This window comes from Homo sapiens, chromosome 19, assembly GCF_000001405.40.
Source record: "Homo sapiens chromosome 19, GRCh38.p14 Primary Assembly".
NCBI lineage: Eukaryota > Metazoa > Chordata > Mammalia > Primates > Hominidae > Homo > Homo sapiens.
Window position 1 is genome coordinate 12,725,376 of NC_000019.10, and position 24,117 is coordinate 12,749,492.

Here is a 24,117-nt window from a genome sequence, read left to right on the forward strand (position 1 = left end):
CCCAAAAAGTGCTGGGATTACAGGTGTGAGCCACCGTGCCTGGCCTTTTTTCCTTTTTTTTTTTTTTTTTTATTTTGAGGTGGAGTTTTGCTCTTGTTGCCCAGGCTGGAGTGCAATGGTGCAATTTCGGCTCACCACAACCTCTGCCTCCCGGGTTCAAGTGATTCTCCTGCCTCAGCCTCGCGAGTAGCTGGGATTACAGGCATGTGCTACCACGCCCTGCTAATTTTGTATTTTTAGTAGAGACCGGGTTTCTCCATGTTGGTCAGGCTGGTCTCGAATTCCCGACCTCAGGTGATCCACCTGCCTTGGCCTCCCCAAGTGCTGGTATTACAGGCATGAGCCACCATGCCTGGCCTTTTTTCCTATTTCTTAAGCACCTACTGCATGTCAAGTGGTTTCCAAATGTTATCTCATTAATACCGGATGTGGTGGCTCATGCCTGTAATCTCAGCACTTTGGGAGGCCGAGGGCAGATCACGAGGTCAGGAGATTGAGACCATCTTCTGGCTAACACAGTGAAACCCTGTCTCTACTAAAAATACAAAAAAATTAGCCAGGAGTGGTGGCCTGCGCTTATAATCCCAGCTACTCAGGAGGCTGAGGCAGGAGAATCGCTTGAACACGGGAGGCGGAGGTTGCAGTGAGCCAAGATCACACCACTTCACTCCAGCCTGGGCGACAGAGCGAGACTCTGTCTCAAAAAAAAAAAAAAAAAAAAAAAAGGCCAAATGTTATCTCATGCAAATCTCACAACAGCCCTATGCCTGGCAAACTTACCCTAGTTCAATTAGAAGCTCTCTGTGCCAAAAGAAACTCACAGAATTGGTGTCCAACCAGCCGGGCGCGGTGGCTCACGTTCATGCCTGTAATCCCAGCATTTTGGGAGGCCGAGGCGGGCAGATCACAAGGTCAGGAGATCAAGACCATCCTGGCTAACACGGTGAAACCCTGTCTCTACTAAAAATACAAAAAAAAATAGCCAGGCGTGGTGGCGACCGCCTGTAGTCCCAGCTACTCGGAAGGCTGAGGCAGGAGAATGGCGTGAACCCAGGAGGCGCAGCTTGCAGTGAGCCAAGATCGCGCCACTGCACTCCAGCCTAGGCGACAGAGCGAGACTCTGTCTCAAAAAAAAAAAAAAAAGAATTGGTGTCCAACCGCGAATCTGAAATGTGAGACAAACGTGTTCTCAATTTACAGCAGCCTCCCTTCCCAAGCCTCTCATCACACTGTCCCCCGAGTTCAAAGGTCAGCACTTCAACTAACTTAACACAGTCCCCAAACGCAAGCCAACTTCTTCACCCTGGAAAGCACTAGCTGTTTTAAACAATGGCAGGGTTAGATTCTATGAATATTGCCCTTACTTTAGAACTTGACTCTAGAGATGCTTCTTTATTTTACCCCTATTTGATAGATGAAGAACCTGAAGTACAGAAAAGCTAAGTGACTTACCCAAGATCACACAGTCAACAGGCACTAGAATAGTCAGAAGCCAGGGCTGTGTGACTCACCAAAACCTGGATATGATTCTCCTCCCTCTTCAGACTTTTCTCAGGTCAGAGCAGGTAAGTACTGTAAAGGGATGTGCCTGGACTTTCAGCCTCTCCTGCCTCTTGACACTAGAATAGAGGCTGAGATGCTGCAGGGCGACCTACTTCCCAGGCTTCTGTTGCTTTTTAAAGATCCAGTCTCTGCTGGTGGCTTTGGGGGAGGAGGAGGTAGGGATGGCTCCATTAGCTTCCTGTGTTCCCTCCCCCCATACTCCACCCCCAAGGCCAAAGTCACACCTGGGCTAGCTTAGCATCCCCAAAGTAGGAGGGAGAGACCTTTCAGCCCACATGCAAAGTAAAGCAGAAAAACCTTATTGTGTGTTAGCAGGAAGCGAAAGAGGAAAGGTATCCTATTCTTTTTTTTTTTTTTAATTTTTTGAGATGGAGTCTCACTCTGTTGCCCAGGCTGGAGTGTAGTCACTGCAACCTCTGCCTCCCCAGTTCAAGCGATTCTCCTGCCTCAGCCTCCCAAGTAGCTGGGATTACAGGCGTGGGCCACCACCCCCAGCTAATTTTTGTATTTTTAGTAGATAGGGTTTCACCATGTTGGTCAGGCTGGTCTTGAACTCCTGACCTTGTGATCTGCCCGCCTTGGCCTCCCAAAGTGCTGAGATTATAGGCGTGAGCCACCACGACAGCTAGGCTGTTTGTTTTTTTTTTTTTTGAGACGGAATCTCACTTTGTTGCCCGGGCTGAAGTATAGTGGCACAATCTTGGCTCACTGCAACCTTTGCCTTCTCAGATTCAGGACATTCTCCTGCCTCAGCCTCCCGAATAGCTGGTATTACAGGTGCGCGCCACCACGCCCGGCTAATTTTTTGTATTTTTAGTAGAGACAGGGTTGCACCACATTGGCCAGGCTGGTCTCGAACTCCTGGCCTCAAGTGATCCTTCTGCCTCAGCCTCCCAAAGTGGTGAGATTACAGGCGTGAGCCACCACGCCCAGCCAACTTTTATTTTTTGTAGCAAGAAAGGTCTTGCTGTGTTGTCCAGGCTGGTCTCGAACTCCTGGGCTCAAGTGATCCACCTGTGTCTCGGCCTCCCCAGTCACTGGGATTACAGATGTGAGCCACCATTCTTGGCAGGGCAGGGTTTTTGTCTGTTTAGGTAGCTGACTTCACATAGCAGATGCTCATCATTTGTTACATGAGTCAGTGCTCCACCCCAACCTGCACAGACTGCATCTGGCAAAATCTGAGAGCCTGTGGTGTACCGGGGTAGGCCCACCTCAGCCCACTCCCAGGACCACAGCCCTGTGCCTTCCACCCTCTACTTGCTGAGGCCGTGTTTCTCTGAGTCTTGGTCCTCTTTTGATTGAAAGTGGAAGGAGGGGCCAGGCACAGTGGCTCATGCCAGTAATCCCTGAGGCCGCAGATCACTTGAGGTCAGGAAACCCCGGCTCTACCAAAAAGATAAAAATTAGCCAGGTGTGGTGGCACACTCATGTAGTCCCAGCTACTCAGGAAGCTGAGGCAGGAGAATTGCTTGAACCTGGGAGGCAGAGGTTGCAGTGAGCCCAGATCGCGCCATTGCACTCCAGCCTGGGGGCGGAGTGTGCCTCTGTCTCAAAAAAAAAAAAAAAAAAAAAACGGGAAGGAGGGGGCTGGGTGCAGTGGTTCACACCTGTAATCCCAGCACTTTGGGAGGCCAAGGTGGGAAGATGGTTTGAGCCCAGGAGTTCCCGACCAGCCTGAACAACACGGTGAGACTTCGTCTCTACGAAAAATAAAAAAAAAAAAATGAGCCGTGTCTGATGGCACATGCCTGTAGACCTACCCAGGAGGCTGAGGTGGGAGGATCGCTTCAGCCCAGGAGGTTGAGGCTGCAGTGAGCTGTAATCTCACCACTGCACTCCAGCCTAGGCAACAGAGGGAGACTTTATCTCAAAAAAAAAAAAAGAAAGTGGAAGAGGGCCCAGCCCTAAGCTGGGTAGGAGTGCCAAGGCTGCTCAGCTGCTGCCATTCTTGCCTGGGAAGACTGGGGTGAGCCTATAGCTGGGGGACCCCCCAACGTTGCTCCAGGTCCAGCAGGTTTGAGGAGTTGGGAGGCAAGGGCATCTTAAAACCTGTGTGGGTTTGGTGGAGAACAGGTGGAGCCAGGCAGCTTCTGGCTCCAACAGGATGGGCAGTGGAGCCAGGAGGAGGGCATGGAAGGGCTAGGTCTGTGCCAATGATCATGTTCTGTAAGGTTGGACAGAGAACCCCCTCGCCCTCTTTCTCTTGAGGGTGTATGCATACAGAAGGGACAGACTCCAGCCTCCCTGGAAGGGCTTCAAGTAGCTAGAGGACTGAGTGGCCCTTCCCCCAGTGGAGCACACAGCCCCATGGAATCCAGCTCTCAGCACTCCTCACCTCCTCTACTACCAAGATGCAGTCCCCTCCACTCCCCTCCTCAGTCTCCCAGGTTCTACCCTCAGCCCCCTTCAGTCTATTCCCCACAGGAGCCAGAGGGATCCCCTGAAGATATAAAACGTATGATGTTGCTACCTCAAATACCCCCCAAAGCCTTCTCCTCACTTAAGAATAAAATCCTGGGCACAACGCAGTGGCTCAGGCCTGTAATCCCAGCACTTTGGGAGGCCGAGGTGGATCACCTGAGGTCAGGAGTTCGAGACCAGCCTGGCCAACATGGTGAAACCCTGTCTCTACCAACAATACAAAAATTAGCCAGGCATGGTGGCAGGCACCTGTAATCCCAGCTACTCGGGAGGCTGAGGCAGGAGAATGGCTTGAACCCAGGAAGTGGATGTTGCAGTGAGCCGAGATCGCGTCACTGCACTTCAGCCTGGGTGTCAGAGACAAGACTCTCAAAAAAAAAAAAAAAAAAAGAATAAAATCCTGGGCCAGGAATGGCTCATACTGGTAATCCTAGCAGTTTAGGAGGCCGAGGTGAGAGGGTTGCTTGAGCCTAGCAGTTGCAGACCAGCCTGGGCAACATAGGGAGACCCCGTCTCTACAAAAAAATTAAAGAACTAGCAGAGCATGGTGGTGTGAACCTGTGGTCCCTACTACTTGCGGGGCTGAGGTGGGAGGAGGCCAGGAAGTGGAGGCTGCAGTGAGGCAGTGAGCTGCGATCGTAGCACTGCACTCTAGCCTGGGCGACAGAGCGAGACCATCTCCCAAAAAAAAAAAAAAAAATTCCTGAATTCTCCCCACCATAATCCATTCATCCATCCTCCTCACTTAGGAGGCCCCCATCAGGCCCAAGCTGTCTCCAACCTGGCTGTTCCCTCTGCCTGGGACTCTGCCTCACCTCCCTCAGGACTCTAATCAAATGTCACCTAAAAGACATACCCGCCTCCTCCCTAGCTGCAAAAGGGCTTCCCCTTTTTGTTTGTGTCTGTCTCCTTCTGTAAGGGCAGGGAGGGTGTGGTCTGCGTGCTCCCAGCTGTTGTCCCAGAGCCTTGCAGAGCCCTGGCACATAATAGATGCTCCTAAGTGTCTGCTGAATGCACAATGCAACAGCTTTGGCCAAGCCAAAATGGAACTGTGAAGAGAAAGTGAGCCTAAGGTGGCACGGTAGAGATGCAGCAGTGAGGGGAGATAGGTCTTGGGGAAAGTCCAGGCCTACAGGAGGGGATGTGCCCCTGTCCTTCCTAACCCTTCCATATCCCGCTCCTTACTGGGTCAGGCCCAGGCTTTGACAGGTACAATGCCAGCAACAGGGGGAAGGCTTAGGTCCGACAGCGCAAAGAAGACAAACCAAGCACACAGCTCCGGCACTAAGTCAAGTTCTTTACTTCCCAGAAGTGATGGCTAAGGGGAGGGAGGAGGGTGAGAAGAGGAAGACAGAAAGAGCCAGAGAGAATGAGGAGGTGAGAAGGGGGGGACAGTAAACCACTGTTCTATGAAGTCTCACGAGGCAAGTGCTCAAGGTAAAAAAAGAGTCCTGGAGAATCGTCCACGGCTGCGGGAAGCATCTCGGTTTCCTTCTGCTTTTAAGTCCTCTCAGGGAAGGCTGTCGCCGCTGCCGCTGCATTAAATAGTTATGTACATCGCAGAGAGTCCCAGGCCATGGGCAGGTGGGGGAGGGGCGTCATTTCACCAGGGGCCGAGTTTTATCATCGTCACCGCACTGGTGAGCTTTGTACTTTTTCACTTCTGCCATGTACTTGGCCCACGCGTCACCTTTACTTGTTAATACCTGTGGAAAGGGGATACGGGTTAGGACGGGGGTGCCAGGAACCAGGGTCAGGACTGCCCTGAGACAGGTGACCCATTCCCAGTGTCACCCAGAAGACTCTGGGTTTGAGCTGAAGATTATAAAGTCAAGTTATCTGGGGACCCATTGACAGCCCTCCTACCCTGCCAGGCACACTCATAAAAGGCCTGGATACCAGACAGGGAGGGAGAAGGCTGGGCGCAAAAGCTGGAAGGGAAAGGCAATGTGGGTGGACCCCCTGCACCAAGCTGGCTCACCTCATCCTCCGTCTTCTGCTTCTTGGCTACTATTCCCGTCTTGAGGGCTAGTTTGTTCCCGCCTCTGCGTTTGCCCACCTGGGTGAAGGGACAGAAGACTGCAACGGTTACAGGAGCCGGGACCGCCCTTGGCGGCGCTGAGGCCCACTACACCTTCCTAGCCCGGCCTGGTGGCCCGTCCTGACGCCGCGCCCAGCTCCGCCAGCCGGCCGACCTGCGCAGCAATCAGAGAGGAGCACACGCGACTCAGCGCCTGCCCTGGGCCCGCGGTGCCCTCCCAGGGAGCAAGAAGAGTGTCCACCTCAGTAGGGACCAGCTCTGTTCTCACTTTCCACGCCAAGGCCTCACCCTCCCTAGCAGGGACCACAAGAGGTGGCAACAGCTCCCTTTATTGAGCATGTACTGTATGCCAAGCCCTGTGCCAAGTGCTGTGGATGTATCATCTCCTTTCATTTTCACAGCTACCCTAAGATGAAAGTTAGAACCACCCCCTTTTTGACCAGGCGCGGTGGCTCAGGCCTGTAATCCCAGCACTTTGGGAGGTAGAATCGGGTAGATCACCTGAAGTCAGGAGTTTGAGACCAGCCTGGCCAACATGGTGAAACCCCATCTCTACTAAAAATACAAAAACTTAGCCGGGAGTGGTGGTAGGCGCCTGTAATCCCAGCTACTTGGGAGGCTGAGGCAGAAGAATTGCTTGAACCTGGGAGGAGGAGGTTGCAGTGAGCCGAGGTTGCACCATTGCACTCCAGCCTGGGCAACAAGAAGTAGACTCTGTCTCAAAAAAAAAAAAAAAAAAAGAAAAGAAAAAAAGAACCACCCCCTTTTCATAGATGAGGAAAGTCTTTCAGGAGAGGTCATGCTAACAACAAACAATGGAGCTGATTCAGGGTCAGGTGGGTCGAAGCCTCTGGACAGCATCCTTAGACATCAAGCAACATTGCCTTCCCTGTGCCTAGCCTGGCATGGCCTCTTTGAGGGTGCAGCCAAAATGGCCCCTCAATGAACAAATGAAAAAGATGCAACGACGACTGCTACTCCCATTCATGAAGGGACTCCACTCGCAGGTATCACACCAACCCTGGTCCTGACGCTTTTCCTTCCTTACCCTTGCCTCAAAGAGTCTTCCTCTAGCCTTTCATCCTGTATCCCACCTTCTCCCATTGATTGAGGGCTTCCTGCGCTCCAGGGGCTCCAACAGTCTTCACAGACAACCAGGCATTCAGTAACCTGTGCTGCTGGGACTATTTCCATTTTTTTTTTTTTTTGGAGACAGAGTCTTACTGTCGAGGCTGGAGTGCAGTGGCATGATCTCAGCTCACTGCAACCTCCACCTCCCAGGTTCAAGTGATTCTCCTGCCTCAGCCTCCCGAGTAGCTGGGATTACAGGTATGCACCACCATGCCTGGCTAATTTTTGTATTTTTAGTAGAGTCAGGGTTTCACCACGTTGGCCAGGCTGGTCTTGAACCCCTGACCTCAGGTGATCTGCCCGCCTCGGCCTCCCAAAGTGCTGGGATTACAGGGATGAGCCACAGAGCCTGGCCTGCTGGGATTATTTCACACCGATTTTTTTTTTAAGATACTCTCTTGTTCTGTCATCCAGGCTAGAGCGCAGTGGTGCAATCATGGCTCACTGCAGCCTGAATCTCCTGGGCTCAAGCGATCCTCCTGTCTCAGCCTCCTGGGTAGCTGGAGCTCCAGGCATGTGTGGCACCATGCCCAGCTAATTTTTTAATTTTTTTTTGTAGAGATGCATTTTTGCCATATTGTCCAGGCTGGTCTCCAACTCCTGGGCTTAAGCGATCCACCCACCTCGACCTCCCAAAATGTTGGAATTACAGGTGTGAGCCACTGCACCCAACCCACGCCCATTTTTAACAAATGAAGAAACTGAGGCTTGCAGAGGTTAGATCATTTGCCCAAAATCACATGCTGGATCCAGAACTAGAGCCCCCAGTCTTGTTATTCTCAACACTTTTTCCTCCACACTACAGGGACTTGATCTTAACACCACAGACATGGCAAGCTCAGAGCCAAAAATCAATATATGCCCTATTTACTTAATCCAGAGTTTCTCAACCTGGCACTAATAACATTTTGAGCTGGATTATTCTTTGTTTGGGGGTGGGAGGGCGCTGCCCCACGCATGGTAGGAAGTTGAGCAGCATCCCTGGCCTCTACCCATAGATGTCACTAGCACCCCCTCCCGCAGTTCTGACAACCAAAAATGTCTCCAGACTTTGCCAAATGTGGGGGTGGAGGGAACTGCCCCAATTGAGAACCACCAGTTTAGCCCTTCCTGGAAGACAGGCTCTGTGCTAACCACTTTTCCAGGATCACCTCATAAAACCCTCACCACATCAAGAGATGCTATGATGTCTATTTTTGCAACTAGGGAAAATGAGGGTAGGCAAACCCAGAGGCTCCAGGAAAGCAGCGATCTTGTCTGTAAGCTCACCACTGCATACCAGCACCTAGCACAATGCCTAGCACGAGGTAAATTGCTCAATAAATGGAGGTTGGTCGAATAAGATACAAGGAAGTCAAGCAATTGTCCTAGATAAGTAATTGTCCTTACATAGTACGTGGTCTGAGTCTAACACATATAGCTCAGAGTCCAGACTTAAATTTACTCCCTTTCCTCACAATTAGTGGTGGTCCCATGACCCAAGGTCCGGGTACCACTCAAACAGGAATCCTGATATCCACGTTTCCTCATTCTCCACAGTGCTGATTCCTAGGCAATTCCTCAGCTCCCAGTTCCCACGGGCAAGCTCCTGGAGTCCCCACTCCCGCCCCTAGACCCCAGTTGTCGGGAATCCAAGTTCCACACCCTCAGCGGGTGACCCGGACGGGCCCCTCATTCAGAACGGAAAGTGGACTTCGGTCCCGATCCCCCTTCACGGGCCCCGACTCCCGCTGCCAAGACAGGCCGTGGCGCCCGCCCCCACCCCCACGGCTCCTTACGAAGCTAAGTGTGGAGCCCGGACCGCCCTTCCTCTTCGGATCCCCGGGGCCAGCGGCGGCGGCCGACTGGTCGGGTCGCTGCGGACCCGGGGGCGGCTCCTCCTGCCGCTGCCGCTGCTCCTCCTCCATCTTCCGCTTGAACAGCTCCAGGAAGCTGCCGTCGTTGGCGAACAAGTTCACGCCGCCCGACACCGGGCTCGAACCCGCGCCCGACACCTCCTCGTCCCCGCTCTCGGGCGACGTCCCCGATCCCGACTCAGCCCAACGGCTCCCGCCACCGCCACCGCCCGCGGGGCCCGGAGCCTCCCGGCCCTGAGGCTCCGCCCGTCTCCCTCGGGCAGCCATTTTGTCGCCAGGTGCCGCGCAAAGGACTCCGGGAAGGCCGCTCCGGCCCCGCGCTTGGCGCCCGACTCGCCTCGTCCCGAACAATGCATGCCGGGAAGAGCGGTCAGGCCCTCCAGCGCCCGCAGCGGGGGCGGGGCGAATGAGGGAACCAACCCGAAGGGGCGGGGCTAGGGGGAGGAGCCCCCGTCTCGCGGGTTTTTTTGTTTCGTTTTTTTTTTTTCTTTTTTTTTCAGACGGAGTTTCCCTCTTGTTTCCCAGGCTGGAGTGCAGTGGCGCGATCTCGGCTCACCACAACCTCCACCTCCCAGGTTCAAGCGATTCTCCTGCCTCAGCCTCCCGAGTAGCTGGGATTACAGACATGCGCCACCACGCCCAGCTAATTTTGTATTTTTAGTAGAGACGGGATTTCTCCATGTTGGTCAGGCTGGTAATCTCCCGACCTCAGGTGATCCGCCCGCCTCGGCCTCCCAAACTGCTGGGATTACAGGCATGAGCCACCGCGCCTGGCCTTGTTTTTTAAAAATTAGAGACGGGCGCCTGGCTATATTGCCCAGGCTGGTCTCGAACTCCTGGCCTCAAGCGATCCTCCTGCCTTGGCCTCCCCTCCCAAAGTGTTGGGATTACAGGCGTGAGCCATCGGGCCCAGTCTTGCTGTTTTGGTTTTTGGTTTTTTGTCTTGTTTTGGAGACAGAGTCACACTCCGTCTCCGAGGCTGGAGTGCAAAGGCATGATCAGGGCTCACTTCAGCCTCGACCTCTCAGGGCTGAGGCGATCCTCCCACCACAGCCTCCCGAGTAGCTGGAAACACAGGCATGCGCCACTACGCCTGGCTAATTTTATTTATTCATTTATTTATTTATTTATATTTGTGGAGACGGGGTTTTGTCATGTTGCCCAGGCTGTTCTCAAACTCCTAGGCTCCAGCAGTCCTCTTACCTCAGCCTCCCAAAGTGCTGGGATTACAGGCGTGAGCCACCGAGCCCTGCCTCTCGGGTTTTCAAAATTCAGCAGTACTCAGGCTGGAGTTCCCCATACAGGGGCTCCCGGAGAATGAGACTGTCGTCTGAGACTGGGGCTGTAGCTTGCTCTCTGGAGTTGGTTTCACTTGGGGCTAGGAACAGATTCGCTTTCCAGGGCTAGAATCCCCGTCTGACGACACCAAGAATAATCTCTATGAGTGGAAGGACCTCATCTGGGGCTGTGTGCTCAGCTGACACCTGGGAACTTGAATCCCTAACTGGGGAATAGAGAGCATGTCTAGTCTGGGCCCCCCAAGTAGAAATAGGGGTATCTTTGGGTTGGGTAACCATCTCTGGGATAAAGCTCACATTTGTTGGGGACATAGCTGGCTCTGTGGAGCTGAAGTCCCCGTCTGAGAATCAGCTTACTTTTTTATTTTATTATTGTTATTATTACTTTATTTTATTTTGTTTTATTTTATTTTTTGAGACGGAGTCTCTCTCTGTCGCCCAGGCTGGAGTGCAGTGGCGTGATCTCGGCTCACTGCAACCTCCGCCTCCCGAGTTCAAGCGATTCTTCTGCCTCAACCTGGTCTCGATTCCTGACCTCGTGATCTGCCTGCCTCGGCCTCCCAAAGTGCTGGGATTACAGGCGTGAGCCAACGCGCCCAGCCTATTTTATTTATTTATTTAGAGACGGAGTTTCACTCTTTCACCCAGGCTGGAGTGGAGTGAAGTGGCGCAATCTCGGCTCGCTGCAACCTCTGCCCTCCGGGTTCAAGCGATTCTCCTGCTTCAGCCTCCTAAGTAGCTGGGATTACAGGCGCGTGCCACCACGCCCGGCTAATTTTTGTATTTTTAGTAGAGACAGGTTTTCACCATCTTGGCCAGGCTGGTCCCGAACTCTTGACCTCAGGTGATCCACCCGCCTCAACCTCCCAAAGTGGTAGGATTACAGGCGTGAGCCACCGCGCCCGGCCCGAGAATCAGCTTATTTTATGAGCTGTAGTATTCAGATGAAGTCGGGGTTATTTCTAGTCTGTAGTCTCCCTCTAAAGTTAAGAGTGTCATGGGCTGGGGTCTCCATCAAGGGCCTGGAACCCAGCTTCTGTTCCTGCTCTAAGACAGAGGTTCAAACATGAAATATGGTATACTGGAGTCTTCTCTTGAAATACAAGGAGACTTTTAGGAATTCCTTCTACGAAACGGAGCGCAATTGCAGGAATGGTGTCTGCTAGGCATGGGAGATCAGGGCGTACAGGACAAGACTCTGTGGACTCGCCCACTCTAAGCCACTATCAGCCCGGGGACCTATCGCCAACCGAGTCAATTCGTCTATGATTGGTTTGCGGCAAGAGCCAAGAGGCTCACAGCCTATTGAATAACAGAGGGGGCGGACCTGAGGTGAGGTTGGGACCTACCGTGAAGAATAGAGGGAAAATGATGGACATAAAGTTGAGCCTATGGAGTCAGGCCAAGGAGGACCGGGAATCTAACTTCACCGAAAGGGCATGGACTGGGTGTTTGGCTGGTTGCTAAGGTGAGGTTGGCGCTACCGGAACATAAGAGTGATTGGTGTAAGTAAGAAAAGACATAGCCAATGAAAGGAGAGCTGCAAGACCTAGGGCCCAATCAGTGAAAGGGAGTAGCCTAGACCGTACCGATGTGTTCATTAGGTAGGGGGAACCCTTGGAAAATTATAGACCAGAGGTTGACAAAGTGAACCCTGGAAGCAAAGAATAGTGAAAATATAATTTATATTTCTCCTAAAAGGCAAGTAATGAGGAAATTAACTCATGCTCCTAGCTTCGCTAGGAATGTGATAGAGAATTTCCCCTGTAGGTTCTTCGTATGGTGCGCTCCGCTGGATCACGTGAGCCAGTTCCAAAATGGCGGCAGGGGTGGCCGGGTGGGGGGTTGAGGCAGAGGAGTTCGAAGATGCTCCTGATGTGGAGCCGCTGGAGCCTACACTTAGCAACATCATCGAGCAGCGCAGCCTGAAGTGGATCTTCGTCGGGGGCAAGGGTGGTGTGGGCAAGACCACCTGCAGGTAAGGAGGCTGCGGCGGGGGCCAGGAGGCGTGTAGGATATACCACTGGGCGAAGGGGAGGCCAAGGACCGGCTTTTCCACCACGACCGGGGCATGGGGGCTGGCGGGGGTCTTTGGGTTTCACTCTCTGGAAGTTACCTGGAGCAAATGAGAAAGACCTCAATGCAGCCCTAGCACCCTCTGAGTTGGACCATCCGTGTTGGGGCTCAAGTGCCGAACCACAGTGAACTCAGCGCCCGGGGGACGGGGAAGCACTTAGATATCCCCATCAGCTGGACCGTACCTGAGTGAATCCAGAGTTGTGGGTGAGGGCGGCACCAGAACAAGCAATCCTAGTTTGGTGAACCTTGGTGTTTTATGCCCAAGGCGAGAGTGAGGGTGGAAAGCGAGGGAGAGAGCACGTGATGAGACTGTCCCAGGCAGCTACAGGCAGGAGGTGTCCGTTGGACAGATTATCCTGGACAAGCAGACTGAACCATCCTGTGCTTACTAGGGAATGCAGGAGACCCCTTAGCTTATTAAGGAAGGGGGCACGGAGTCAAGCTATGCTGGCTGGACCGCTGGGCCATGCCACTGTGCCCAGCAAAAAAGAAGCAGGCACTAGGCCAGACAGACTCAGTCAGCTGAACCTTACCTCTCTAGTCCACATAGAGGGGTCAGGAGATAAATCAGAGAGGGTTCCTTTGTAGGGACTGAGGCTCAATCCCACCATAACCCATACTCTCCTCTCAAGGCCCCTGCTGATTCGGGTCACCTGCTCCAGGGAACCTACCACTCCCCTTGCAGACCCAGGGAACAGAGCCCATCCCCTCATCCCCTATCTTTTGACTTTTCCATTACTCAGCTGCAGCCTGGCAGTCCAGCTCTCCAAGGGGCGTGAGAGTGTTCTGATCATCTCCACAGACCCAGCACACAACATCTCAGATGCTTTTGACCAGAAGTTCTCAAAGGTGCCTACCAAGGTCAAAGGCTATGACAACCTCTTTGCTATGGTGAGTGGAACAGGGCTTAGCCCCCACTTCTGGGAAAAGCCTCTTCCAGCCTTTCTTGTGCGCACACACCAGCAGCCACCGTGTCCTATCCACTCTATATCCTGTGTCTCTCGTGTTTCACTCCTTCCTCAACATACTCACAAGGGAACCAATGAGGAATTGCAGAGCAGGAAGCACACCAGAGTGCCTGAAGCTTAGTGAGCCAGGGTAGGGGAAGGAGAAGTTGGAGAGACCAATCAGAGCCACATGGTGTGGGACCTTATGGGCCACTAAGAAGTTTGGCATTGACTCCAGGTTATTAACGGGAAGCTGTTTGTTTTAAGCAGGGCAATGTCGTGGCCAAATTCATGTTTGAAAAGTACCCTTTGACGGCCAGGTGGAGATTTAATTGTCAGTCAGGGTAGAAGCAGGGAAACTAACAAGGAGATTGGGGGTGTAACCAGTTGAGAGATGACAACATCCTGGACTCTGGTGGAGGCAGAATGTTGGGGGAGAAGTAGTCAGACTTGAGGTTTTTTTTTTTTTTAGACACTCAAGACTCCTCTGTCTCCCAGGCTGGAGTGCAGTAACCCGATCTAGGCTGACTGCAACCTCCGCCTCCCAGGTTCAAGCAATGCTCCTGCCTCAGCCTCCCGAGTAGCTGGCACTACAGGCTTGCGCCACCACTGCCTGTTAATTTTGTTTTTTTTAGGAGACAGGTTTTCACCATATTGGCCAGGCTGGTCTCAAACTCCTGACCTCAAGTGATCTGACTGCCTCGGCCTCCCACAGTGCTGGGATTACAGGCATGAGCCACCACATCGCACCAGGGATGTATTTTGGAAGTAAACCAGTAAGATTACTTGGGTGAGAAAAAGAAATGAATTGATTACATGTCTTTCTTGTCTCTCTGAGCAGCTGGGATGGGGAAAACTAGGAAAGGAGTAGGTTTAGAATGAACAAATAAAGAATTTCATTTTGTCCACAGTGAATCTGAGTTGCCCACTGGAAATCCAAGTGTAAACATCATGACAGTAGCTTGTTTATGTGAGTCTGGAGCCCAGAGGAGGTTGGCATTGATTTGGAAGTCACTGTCTCAAGGGTGGCATTTAAAGCTGTGTGAGGGCTGGGCATGGTGGCTCATTCCTGTAATCCTAGCACTTTGAGAAGCCAAGGTGGGCGGATCACTTGAGGTCAAGAGTTTGAGACCAGCCTGGCCAACATGGTGAAACCCCATCACTACTAAAAATATAAACCAATTAGCTGGGCATGGTGGCAGGTGCCTGTAATACCAGCTACTCAGAAGGCTAAGGTAGGAGAATCGCTAGAACCCAGGAAGCAGAGATTCTCCTGCCTCAGCCTCCGGAGTTGCTGGGATTACAGGTGCCTACCACCATGCCCGGCTAATTTTTGTATTTTTAGTAGAGACGAGGTTTTCTCACGTCTCAAAAAAAAAAAAAATTGGCTGGGCGCAGTGGCTCACTCCTGTCATCCCAGCACTGTGGGAGACCGAGGCGGGTGGATCACAAGGTCAGGAGATCAAGACCCTCCTGGCTAACACGGTGAAAGCCCATCTCTACTAAAAATACAAAAAATAGCTGGGCATGGTGGCAGGCGCCTTTAGTCCCAGCTGCTCAGGAGGCTGAGGCAGGAGAGTGGCGTGAACCCCGGAGGCGGAGCTTGCAGTGAGCTGAGATCGCGCCACTGCACTCCAGCCTGGGCGACAGAGCAACACTCTGTCTCAAAAAAATAATAAAGGCCGGGCACGGTGGCTCACATCTGTAATCTCAGCACTTTGGGAGGCTGAGGCGGGCAGATCACAAGGTCAAGAGACTGAGACCATCTTGGCTAACACGGTGAAACCTCATCTCTACTAAAAATACAAAAAAATTAGCCAGGTATGGTGGCGGGCACCTGTAGTCCCAGCTACTCCGGAGGCTGAGGCAGGAGAATGGCGTGAACGCGGGAAGTGGACCTTGCAGTGAGCCGAGATCGCGCCACTGCTTTACAGCCTGAACAACGGAGCGAGACTCAACAAAAAATAATAAATAAAAATAAAATAAAATAAAGAGATGCTGCAGAGTGAGGATGCTGGCAGAGGACAGTCCTCAGGTGGGATGAGCTCCATCCAGCATACAGACCCAGAACTTGGGCGCTGCCAGGGTCAGGGACTGGGAGGGAAACAGGAGGAATTGGGGCACTTCCCGGGCAGAGATGAGGGTGTTGGCAGCCAATGGCTTCTCTTTCTCACCAAGGAACAGGCAAGGGTCTCAGCAGTGAATGGGATAGAAGTTTGAGGAGGGAGAAAATACCACATAAACACTTATTAAGGTAGCAGGGGGAACCAGAATTGTCTGGATCATCAAGTGCCCATTGGAGATTTGTGTTCAGAAGAGGGGAGCAAGGGCGGGCGTGGTGGCTCATGCCTGTAATCCCAGCACTTCGGGAGGCTGAGGCAGGTGGATCAGAAGGTCAGGAGTTAAAGACCAGCCTAGCCAAGATGGTGGAACTCCATCTCTACTAAAAATACAAAAATTAGCTGGGCATGGTGGCTCACGCCTGTAATCCCAGCACTCTGGGAGGCCGAGGTGGGCGGATCACAAAGTCAGGAGATTGAGACCAGCCTGGCTAACAGGGTGAAACCCCATCTCTACTAAAAATACAAAAAGTTAGCCGGGCGTGATGGCGGGTGCCTTTAATCCCAGTTATTCGGGAGGCTGAGGCAGGAGAATGGCGTGAACGCGGGAGGTGGAGCTTACAGTGAGCCTAGATCGCGCCACTGCACTCCAGCGTGGGTGACAGAGCAAGACTCCATCTCAAAAAAAAAAATACAAAAATAAGCCAGGCACGGTGGCTCACGCCTGTAATCCCAGCACTTTGGGAGGCTGAGGCGGGCAGATCACCTGAGGTCGGGAGTTCGAGACCAGCCTGACCAATATGGTGAAACCCCGTCTCTACTAAAAATACAAAAATTAGCCTTGCGTGGTGGCCGGCACCTGTAGTCCCAGTTACACGGGAGGCTGAGGCAGGAGAATTGCTTGAACCTGGGAGACGGAGGTTGCAGTGAGCCGAGATCATGCCACTGCACTCCAGCCTGGGATACAGAGCGACACTCCATCTCAAAAAAAAAAAATTAGTTGGGCCTGGTGGTGGGCGCCTGTAATCCCAGATACTCGGGAGGCTGAGGCAAAGAATTGCTTGAACCTGGGAGGCGGAGGTCACAGTGAGTCGAGATTGTGCCACTGTACTCCAACCTGGATGACAGAGCGAGACTCCGTCTCCAAAAGGGTGAGGAGCAAGATGGGAATACTCTTCAGGAGTGTTCGGCCCTCAAGTGCAGTGATACTAAAGAGCTAGAAAGCCATACCTATCATTTCAGTGCTTGCAGAGACTGAGACAAGAGGATCACGTGAGGTCAGGAGTTCAAGACCAGCCTGGGCAACAAAGGGAGACCCTTTCTCTACAAAAAACAAACAAAATTAGCTGGGCATGGTGGTGTGTGCCTATAGTCCCAGTAAGTTGGTAGGTTGAGGCAGGAGGATCATTTGAGCCTAAGAGTTTGAGGCTGCAATGAGCTATGTATGAGATGGTATCTTTTTTTTTTTTTTTTTTGAGACTGAGTTTCACTCTGTCACCCAGGCTGGAGTGCAGTGGTGTGATCTCAGCTCACTGCAACCTCTACCTCCTGAGTTTAAGCGATTCTCCTGCCTCAGCCTCCCAAGTAGCTGTGATTACAGGCGCCCGCCACCACATCCGGCTAATTTTTGTTTTGGGGGGGTTTTTTTTGTTTGTTTTGAGACGGAGTCTTATTCTGTCGCCCAGGATGGAGTGCAGTGGCGCAATCTCGGTTCACTGCAACCTCTTCCTCCCGATTTCAAGTGATTCTCCTGCCTCAGCCTCCCGAGTAGCTGGGACTCCAGGTGCATGCCACCATGCCCGGCTAATTTTTAGTATTTTTAGTAGAGACGGGGTTTCACCATGTTAACCAGGATGGTCTCGATCTCCTGACCTCGTGATCCACCCGCCTTGGCCTCCCAAAGTGCTGGGATTACAGGCGTGAGCCACCGCGCCTGGCCTGTATTTTTTTTTAGTAGAGACGGGGTTTCAACATGTTGGCCAGGCTGTTTTCAATCTCCTGACCTCAAATGATCTGCCTGGCTTGGCTTCCTAATACACTGGGATTACAAGTGTGAGCTACCGCGCCCGGCCAAGACGCTATCTCTAAAAGAAAGAAAAAAAAAGCTGGAAGTAACCAGAGTGGGGGATTTTGCCAACAGCAAGGGGAAAGGGAGTGTTTGCAGAGGGAACCTGTGGAGGCTGGGCTGGATAAGGGTGCCAGCCAAGAGGAACACTGACAGTTTACAGGGGCCAGGTGAGGGGATGAAGTAGTCCAAAGAAGCTTAAAATATATGAAGCATAAGAAGAGGGTGCAGTGATGAGTGGGCAAGCTCCCCAACAGGGAATGACCCCTAAGGCCAGCGAGTTGGGTACTTCCCCATGGGACCCATGAAGTTACCAAGAAGAGGTGACAGAGGAGGAAGATAAAGAGGGAGGCATTGGCCGGGCATGGTGGCTCATACCTGTAATCCCAGCATTTTGGGAGGCTGAGGTGGGTGGATCACCTGAGGTTGGGAGTTGAAAACCAGCCTGACCAACATAGAGAAGCCCCGTCTCTACTAAAAATACAAAATTAGCTGGGGTGGTGGCGCATGCCTGTAATCCCAGCTACTCAGGAAGCTGAGGCAGGAGAATCACTTGAACCCTGGAGGCGGAGGTTGCAGTGAGCCAAGATCACGCCATTGTCCAGCCTAGACAACAAGAGTGAAACTCCATCTCAGAAAAAAAAAAAATTACAAAAATTAGCCAGGCATGGCCAGGCGTGATGGCTCGTGCCTGTAATCCCAGCACTTTGGGAGGCCGAGGTGGGTGGATCACGAGGTCAGGAGATCGCCACCATCCTGGCTAACACAGTGAAACCCCGTCTCTACTAAAAATACAAAAAATTAGCCAGGTGTGGTGGCGGGCGCCTGTAGTCCCAGCTACTCACTGCACTCCAGCCTGGGTGACAGAGCGAGACTCCATCTCTTTTTTTTTTTTTTTTTTTTTTTTGAGATGGAGTCTCGCTCTGTCGCCCAGGCTGGAGTGCAGTGGCGTGATCTCAGCTCACTGCAGGCTCCGCCCCCTGGGGTTCATGCCATTCTCCTGCCTCAGCCTCCCAAGTAGCTGGGACTACAGGCACCCGCCACCTCGCCCGGCTAATTTTTTGTATTTTTAGTAGAGACGGGGTTTCACCGTGTTAGCCAGGATGGTCTCGATCTCCTAACCTCAGGTGATCTGCCTGCCTCGGCCTCCCAAAGTGCTGGGATTACAGGCGTGAGCCACCACGCCCGGCCAAGACTCCATCTCAAAAAAAAAAAAAAAAAAAAAAATTAGCCAGGCATGGTGGGGCATGCCTATAGTCTCAGCTACTCGGGAGGCTGAGGCAGGAGAATTGCTTGAACCCAGAAGGTGGAGGTTGTGATGAGCTGAGATCGCGCCACTGCACTCCAGCCTAGGCAACAAGATCAAAACTCCATCTCGGGAAAAAAAAAAAAAAAAGAGGGAGGCATTGAGTCTGAGACTGGCCAGGGACCCCAGCCATGGCCATCCCTTCATAGATTCTACATACATGTTTGTGTTTTGTTTTGTTGTTTGTTTTTTGAGACAGAGTCTCCCTCTGTCACCCAGGCTGGAGTGTAATGGCGTGATCTCGGCTCACTGTAACCTCTGCCTCCCGGGTTCAAGCGATTCCCCTGCCTCAACCTCCAGAGTAGCTGGGATTATAGGCACCCGCCACTATGCATGGCTAATTTTTGTATTTTTAGTAGAGACGGGGTTTCACCATGTTGGCCAGGCTGGCCTCAAGCTCCCGACCTCAGGTGATCTGCCCGCCTCCGCTTCCCAAAGGGCTGGAATTACAGGCATGAGGTACCGCGCCTGGCTGGATTCCCCATATGTGCTGACGACCTCTGTGCCAGGCACTGTTCATGCTAAGCGCTAAGGACACAGCAGTGAACTAGATGGTAAAACCCCTGCCCCTGAGGGGCAGACATTCCTGCTATGGAGACAGATGATAAACATGATAAGGGAATCATGAGGGATGTGAGGAAGGGCTAATTTTTTTTTCAGATAGGTCTTGCTATATTGCCCAGGCTGGTGTCCAACTCCTGGGCTCAAGCGATCCTCCCATCTCATTCTCCTGAGTACCTGGGACTACAGGCGTGAGCTATCCTGCCCAGCTCCTAAGGGCTAAACCTTAAGGAGAAAGGAAGGCAGGGCAGGGGTGTCGGTGGATCTGTGCTGTTACTTAGGGTGGTCAGGGAGTCTCTCAGTGGAGGGATGATGATCCGGAAGAGGTCATGGCCCAGTCATGGGAGTATCTGGGGTTGCAAGTGGCAGGTTGCAAGTGGGGAGTAGCAGTGTAAATGGCCCGCAGTGGGTTTCAGCTTCCCTTTGAGGGCCCTGGGCACAGCTTGCAATTTTCCCCTTGTTTTTGACCCTTTATGCAACCATACAAAACCCTAAGTACTACCTCAGGGTCCCCCCAGCCGTGACCTAATGAAATGCCTGTGGTCACAGCCCACCACAGGCTCCCTCTGGCCCTGTGCCCGGGTAGGAAGGCTCCCCCTGGCCCTGTGCCCAGGTGGGAAGGCTCCCCCAGCAGTAGCAGCAACCTCAGTCTCATCCCTTTGGCCCCCAGGAGATTGACCCCAGCCTGGGCGTGGCGGAGCTGCCTGACGAGTTCTTCGAGGAGGACAACATGCTGAGCATGGGCAAGAAGATGATGCAGGAGGCCATGAGCGCATTTCCCGGCATCGATGAGGCCATGAGCTATGCCGAGGTCATGAGGTCAGGCCCAGCCAGCAGGGGTGGGGGCTGCCTGGGGAAGGGGAAGAGCGGACACAGAGGGCCTGACCCCTGTCTCCCCTCAGGCTGGTGAAGGGCATGAACTTCTCGGTGGTGGTATTTGACACGGCACCCACGGGCCACACCCTGAGGCTGCTCAACTTCCCCACCATCGTGGAGCGGGGCCTGGGCCGGCTTATGCAGATCAAGAACCAGATCAGCCCTTTCATCTCACAGGCAGGCGGCGGGGGCCCCCACCTGCACCATCCAGGCAGCCGGGAGTGGGAGTAGGCCCGGGCCCCCAGACCCTCAAATGCGCACTAACAATTCCCTTTCCTTCCCACCCCTTCTCACTCTGGACTTCTCCCTGGAGGGGATGGGACGGAGCTGTCTTTCCTCCCCCACAGGCAGGACTCAGTGTCCCTGCCCCTGCCCGCTAAATACCCTAGACAGAGCCAGAAAGCACATTCCAGAACCAGGCAACCTGCCTTCAAACCCTCTACACTCACCATGTGACCCAACTGCTGTGTGACCTCAAGCAAATCACTTCACCTCTCTGGGCCTCACCTTCCTTGTCTTGCAAATGGAGATCATGAGAGTGCCCCATGGGTTATTATTATTATTATTCGAGACGGAGTCTCGCTCTGTCACCCAGGCTGGAGTGCAGTGGTGCGATCTTGGCTCATTGCAACCTCCACCTCGTGGGTTCAAGTGATTCTCGTGCCTCTACCTCCCAAGTAGCTGGGACTACAGACATGTACCACCATGCCCAGCTAATTTTTGTACTTTTTGTAGAGATAGGGTTTTGCCATGTTGCCCAGGCTGGTCTTGAACTCCTGGCCTCAAGCAGTACACCCACTTCGACCTCCCAGAGTGCTGGGATTACAGGCATGAGCCACTGTGCCCAGCCCCCATGGGTTATTATTACGATGACAACCCTAAAGCCCCCACAGTGCTGCACACCACCAGCACCACCCACCATGGTGTATGTGCACGTGTGGGTGTGTGCGTGTCCCCTGTGGGGACCTGTGCCTCAGGTGGTAACACTGAGCACTTACTGTGTGCCAGACACTATTCTCAGCACATTATATGCTTCAGCTCATCTGGTACAACAGATCTGGGAGGTAAAGTTTAGAGATGGGGAAACTGAGGCTCCAGGAGGGTCAAGCCCCTTAGCTATGGTTCCCTAAAAATGGCAAAGCTGAGGCCGGCCGCAGTGGCTCATGCCTGTAATCCTAGGACTTCGCAAGGCCGAGGCAGGTGGATTGCCTGAGGTCAGGAGTTCAAGACCAGCCTGGCCAAAATGGTGAAACCCCACCAGTACTAAAAATACAAAAATTAGCCGGGCATGGTGGTGCGCGCCTGTAATCCCAGCTACTCAAGAGGCTGAGGCAGGAGAATCGCTTGAACCCAGGAGGCGGCGGTTGCAGTGAGCCAAAATCACGCCATTGTACTCCAGCCTGGGCAACAGAGTGAGACTCCATTTCAAAAAAAAAAAAAAAAGAAAGAAAGAAATGGAAAAGCTAGTATTTGACCAACCCCAGGAATCTGCTTATGGGCCTGAGCCTTTAACCACTGGGAGGTATCAGGAGTCATCCCTCGGGTGTTTAGTGAACCCCCAACCCAGGAGGTCGCCGCAGGTAAGCTATGAGCCCTCCCACATCCCCCCTGCAGATGTGCAACATGCTGGGCCTGGGGGACATGAACGCAGACCAGCTGGCCTCCAAGCTGGAGGAGACGCTGCCCGTCATCCGCTCAGTCAGCGAACAGTTCAAGGACCCTGTGAGTGGTGGTCTGGCTGGCGGTGAGAGGCCCGGGGGCTGAGGACAGGGGCAGACCCCGCCCCTCACTGTCCTCTCTCGTGCCCTGTAGGAGCAGACAACTTTCATCTGCGTATGCATTGCTGAGTTCCTGTCCCTGTATGAGACAGAGAGGCTGATCCAGGAGCTGGCCAAGTGCAAGATTGACACACACAATATAATTGTCAACCAGCTCGTCTTCCCCGACCCCGAGAAGCCCTGCAAGATGTGTGAGGCCCGTCACAAGATCCAGGCCAAGTATCTGGACCAGGTGTGCCCACCCACCCAGCACTGGCTCAGCAGAGGCACCTCTGCCCCTTTATTCTCTGATCTTTTGCTCCACCATCTGGCCCTCTGCCCTCTAGCCTCCTGCCCTTTGCCCCCACATTTCAGATCCTTCACCCTTATTCCGGCCATAGAGGACTGTGGCTGGCCTGGCCTAGGTCCCTGTGACCCTGGAGAGCAGGGGGTCTAGCCCAGTGATCTCTGACCATAGTGATGCAGCTCCCACTTATGACACCTTAAGCTCCTGCCCTATATTCTCTCCCTGACTCTGGAAGCTTTCTAGCTTTACCGCTTCTATTGATCCACACTCTGTCTCTGCCTTCCTGCCCCCTGACCACTGCCTTCTACCCTCTGCCCTGGCTGCAGATGGAGGACCTGTATGAAGACTTCCACATCGTGAAGCTGCCGCTGTTACCCCATGAGGTGCGGGGGGCAGACAAGGTCAACACCTTCTCGGCCCTCCTCCTGGAGCCCTACAAGCCCCCCAGTGCCCAGTAGCACAGCTGCCAGCCCCAACCGCTGCCATTTCACACTCACCCTCCACCCTCCCCACCCCCTCGGGGCAGAGTTTGCACAAAGTCCCCCCCATAATACAGGGGGAGCCACTTGGGCAGGAGGCAGGGAGGGGTCCATTCCCCCTGGTGGGGCTGGTGGGGAGCTGTAGTTGCCCCCTACCTCTCCCACCTCTTGCTCTTCAATAAAATGATCTTAAACTGCTGTATTGTTGACATTGGGAGGTGAGGGTAAGCACCTTTATGTACAGTTGCACAGGTTGTGCACTGGACAGAAGTGTCACATCTAGAGGGGCCCATTCACAACAGAGACCTAATAGAGATGCATGTTTATTGTGGCAACTTTGGAAGGAGGGTGTCTTGGGTGAGAGATACCTTTGTCTCATTCTGTGTGGGTTAAGGTGTCCCTGTTGGGCCTGTGAAGCCTGGAATGGAAGACAGAGGCATTTTCCCACTTCCTTGGAGGCTCAGAGCGTGGGAACTGGGAGGCCCCTTGGCCAGCCCCAGGCTGGTGGGGAGCAGAGCAGATTAGGCCGGCAGTGGGCCCGGCACTGCCTGCTGTTTGGTTTGGGAATTAGTGGGCGCCCTGGGGAGAGGCCAGGCCTGCCAGACTGGGGATTAACAGTCTCCACCCCCCAATTCCTGCCCCCATGGGATGGCATCAGCCCCTCCCAGCAAAGGGCTGCAGCAAGGGGGCTGGTTAGTGGGCAGGGTGACAGAGGACTCCGGCTGGAGGGGCTCCTGAAGTCTCATCCTGACTCCAGAGCGGTCTCAGGCTGTGGGCACACAGGCCTGGAAGGCACCTAGTGGACCCCCTTATCCCCTGCCCTTCGCTCCTCCCTCTGCCACTGCCTGGGCTGCTATTGTTGTCCCCACTTGGGAGACTCAGGATGGGGTATGACCTTGAGAGTTTACAAGTTCCAAGCCAGAGCTGGCTAGGGGGGACAGAAAGGGGGTTCCTGAGGACACACGTGAGTCGGTGTTCAGGCCGGGCGCGGTGGCTCACACCTGTAATCCCAGCACTTTGGGAGGCCGAGGTGGGTGGATCACTTGAGGCCAGGAGTTCAAGACCAGCCTGGCCAACATGGCGAAACCTCGTCTCTACTTAAAATACAAAAATTAGTCGGGCATGGTGTTGGGGTGCTTGTAGTCCCAGCTGCTCCAGAGGCTTAGGTGGGAGAATCGCTTGAACCCCGGAGGCAGAGGTTGCAGTGAGCCAAGACAGGGTAAGACCCTGTCTCAAAAAACAAAAGTGGTGTTCAGGTCCAGTCATGGTGGCTCACGCGTGTAATCCCAGCACTTTGGGAGGCCGAGGCAGGTGGATCACGAGGTCAGGAGTTGGAGGCCAGCCTCCAACTACTCTCTACTAAAAAG

General features: G+C 53.3%; 2 protein-coding genes across 7 annotated transcripts, besides 12 other annotated features; one reads left to right on the forward strand and one right to left on the reverse strand.

Moving 5' to 3' along the window:
- Window positions 1-5,264: 5,264 nt before the first annotated feature.
- Window positions 5,265-9,309, reverse strand: TRIR (telomerase RNA component interacting RNase). Of its 4 annotated transcripts, none has more exons than NR_138095.2 (3): window positions 8,938-9,309; window positions 5,969-6,182; window positions 5,265-5,693 (listed from the first exon to the last, which is right to left on the reverse strand). NR_138095.2 is itself a non-coding variant. In NM_001329739.2 (3 exons), the coding sequence occupies exons 1-2, from the start codon at window positions 9,280-9,282 to the stop codon at window positions 5,970-5,972; spliced, it is 399 nt and encodes a 132-aa protein (NP_001316668.1). In that variant the 5' UTR covers window positions 9,283-9,309; the 3' UTR covers window positions 5,265-5,693; window position 5,969. The 4 variants fall into 4 exon arrangements, 3 of the variants coding, with proteins under 3 accessions (NP_001316668.1, NP_076943.1, NP_001316667.1); NM_001329739.2 differs by having other exon boundaries at window positions 5,969-6,046; window positions 8,961-9,309; NM_024038.4 differs by having other exon boundaries at window positions 5,969-6,046.
- Window positions 6,111-6,658: an enhancer, noted in NCBI's record as "H3K4me1 hESC enhancer chr19:12842300-12842847 (GRCh37/hg19 assembly coordinates)". NCBI's record gives its function as "activates a minimal SCP1, AML or CMV promoter by ChIP-STARR-seq in naive H9 embryonic stem cells {active_cell/tissue: H9 hESC(naive)}" and the evidence as "EXISTENCE:reporter gene assay evidence [ECO:0000049][PMID:30033119]".
- Window positions 8,937-9,006: a silencer, noted in NCBI's record as "silent region_10160". NCBI's record gives its function as "represses an Ori minimal core promoter by ATAC-STARR-seq in GM12878 lymphoblastoid cells {active_cell/tissue: GM12878}" and the evidence as "EXISTENCE:reporter gene assay evidence [ECO:0000049][PMID:35858748]".
- Window positions 9,017-9,136: a silencer, noted in NCBI's record as "silent region_10161". NCBI's record gives its function as "represses an Ori minimal core promoter by ATAC-STARR-seq in GM12878 lymphoblastoid cells {active_cell/tissue: GM12878}" and the evidence as "EXISTENCE:reporter gene assay evidence [ECO:0000049][PMID:35858748]".
- Window positions 9,136-9,650: a transcriptional cis regulatory region, noted in NCBI's record as "promoter|chr19:12845325-12845839 region (GRCh37/hg19 assembly coordinates) targeted for CRISPR interference". NCBI's record gives its function as "positively regulates RAD23A gene expression in K562 cells {active_cell/tissue: K562}" and the evidence as "EXISTENCE:mutant phenotype evidence [ECO:0000015][PMID:31784727]".
- Window positions 9,167-9,236: a silencer, noted in NCBI's record as "silent region_10162". NCBI's record gives its function as "represses an Ori minimal core promoter by ATAC-STARR-seq in GM12878 lymphoblastoid cells {active_cell/tissue: GM12878}" and the evidence as "EXISTENCE:reporter gene assay evidence [ECO:0000049][PMID:35858748]".
- Window positions 9,397-9,516: a silencer, noted in NCBI's record as "silent region_10163". NCBI's record gives its function as "represses an Ori minimal core promoter by ATAC-STARR-seq in GM12878 lymphoblastoid cells {active_cell/tissue: GM12878}" and the evidence as "EXISTENCE:reporter gene assay evidence [ECO:0000049][PMID:35858748]".
- Window positions 11,476-12,333: a transcriptional cis regulatory region, noted in NCBI's record as "promoter|chr19:12847665-12848522 region (GRCh37/hg19 assembly coordinates) targeted for CRISPR interference". NCBI's record gives its function as "positively regulates TRIR gene expression in K562 cells {active_cell/tissue: K562}" and the evidence as "EXISTENCE:mutant phenotype evidence [ECO:0000015][PMID:31784727]".
- Window positions 11,558-11,657: a silencer, noted in NCBI's record as "silent region_10164". NCBI's record gives its function as "represses an Ori minimal core promoter by ATAC-STARR-seq in GM12878 lymphoblastoid cells {active_cell/tissue: GM12878}" and the evidence as "EXISTENCE:reporter gene assay evidence [ECO:0000049][PMID:35858748]".
- Window positions 11,670-12,265: an enhancer, noted in NCBI's record as "H3K27ac hESC enhancer chr19:12847859-12848454 (GRCh37/hg19 assembly coordinates)". NCBI's record gives its function as "activates a minimal SCP1, AML or CMV promoter by ChIP-STARR-seq in naive H9 embryonic stem cells {active_cell/tissue: H9 hESC(naive)}" and the evidence as "EXISTENCE:reporter gene assay evidence [ECO:0000049][PMID:30033119]".
- GET3 (guided entry of tail-anchored proteins factor 3, ATPase) lies at window positions 11,731-22,948 on the forward strand. 3 transcript variants are annotated; one of them, NM_001371489.1, is made up of 8 exons: window positions 11,731-11,818; window positions 12,084-12,291; window positions 13,136-13,283; window positions 20,002-20,150; window positions 20,234-20,384; window positions 21,822-21,929; window positions 22,020-22,217; window positions 22,598-22,948. In NM_001371489.1, the coding sequence occupies exons 2-8, from the start codon at window positions 12,131-12,133 to the stop codon at window positions 22,727-22,729; spliced, it is 1,047 nt and encodes a 348-aa protein (NP_001358418.1). In that variant the 5' UTR covers window positions 11,731-11,818; window positions 12,084-12,130; the 3' UTR covers window positions 22,730-22,948. The 3 variants fall into 3 exon arrangements, with proteins under 3 accessions (NP_001358418.1, NP_001358417.1, NP_004308.2); NM_001371488.1 differs by having other exon boundaries at window positions 11,731-11,781; NM_004317.4 differs by lacking the exon at window positions 11,731-11,818 and having other exon boundaries at window positions 12,122-12,291.
- Window positions 12,048-12,107: an enhancer, noted in NCBI's record as "active region_14075". NCBI's record gives its function as "activates an Ori minimal core promoter by ATAC-STARR-seq in GM12878 lymphoblastoid cells {active_cell/tissue: GM12878}" and the evidence as "EXISTENCE:reporter gene assay evidence [ECO:0000049][PMID:35858748]".
- Window positions 12,228-12,287: an enhancer, noted in NCBI's record as "active region_14076". NCBI's record gives its function as "activates an Ori minimal core promoter by ATAC-STARR-seq in GM12878 lymphoblastoid cells {active_cell/tissue: GM12878}" and the evidence as "EXISTENCE:reporter gene assay evidence [ECO:0000049][PMID:35858748]".
- Window positions 19,689-20,189: an enhancer, noted in NCBI's record as "H3K4me1 hESC enhancer chr19:12855878-12856378 (GRCh37/hg19 assembly coordinates)". NCBI's record gives its function as "activates a minimal SCP1, AML or CMV promoter by ChIP-STARR-seq in primed H9 embryonic stem cells {active_cell/tissue: H9 hESC(primed)}" and the evidence as "EXISTENCE:reporter gene assay evidence [ECO:0000049][PMID:30033119]".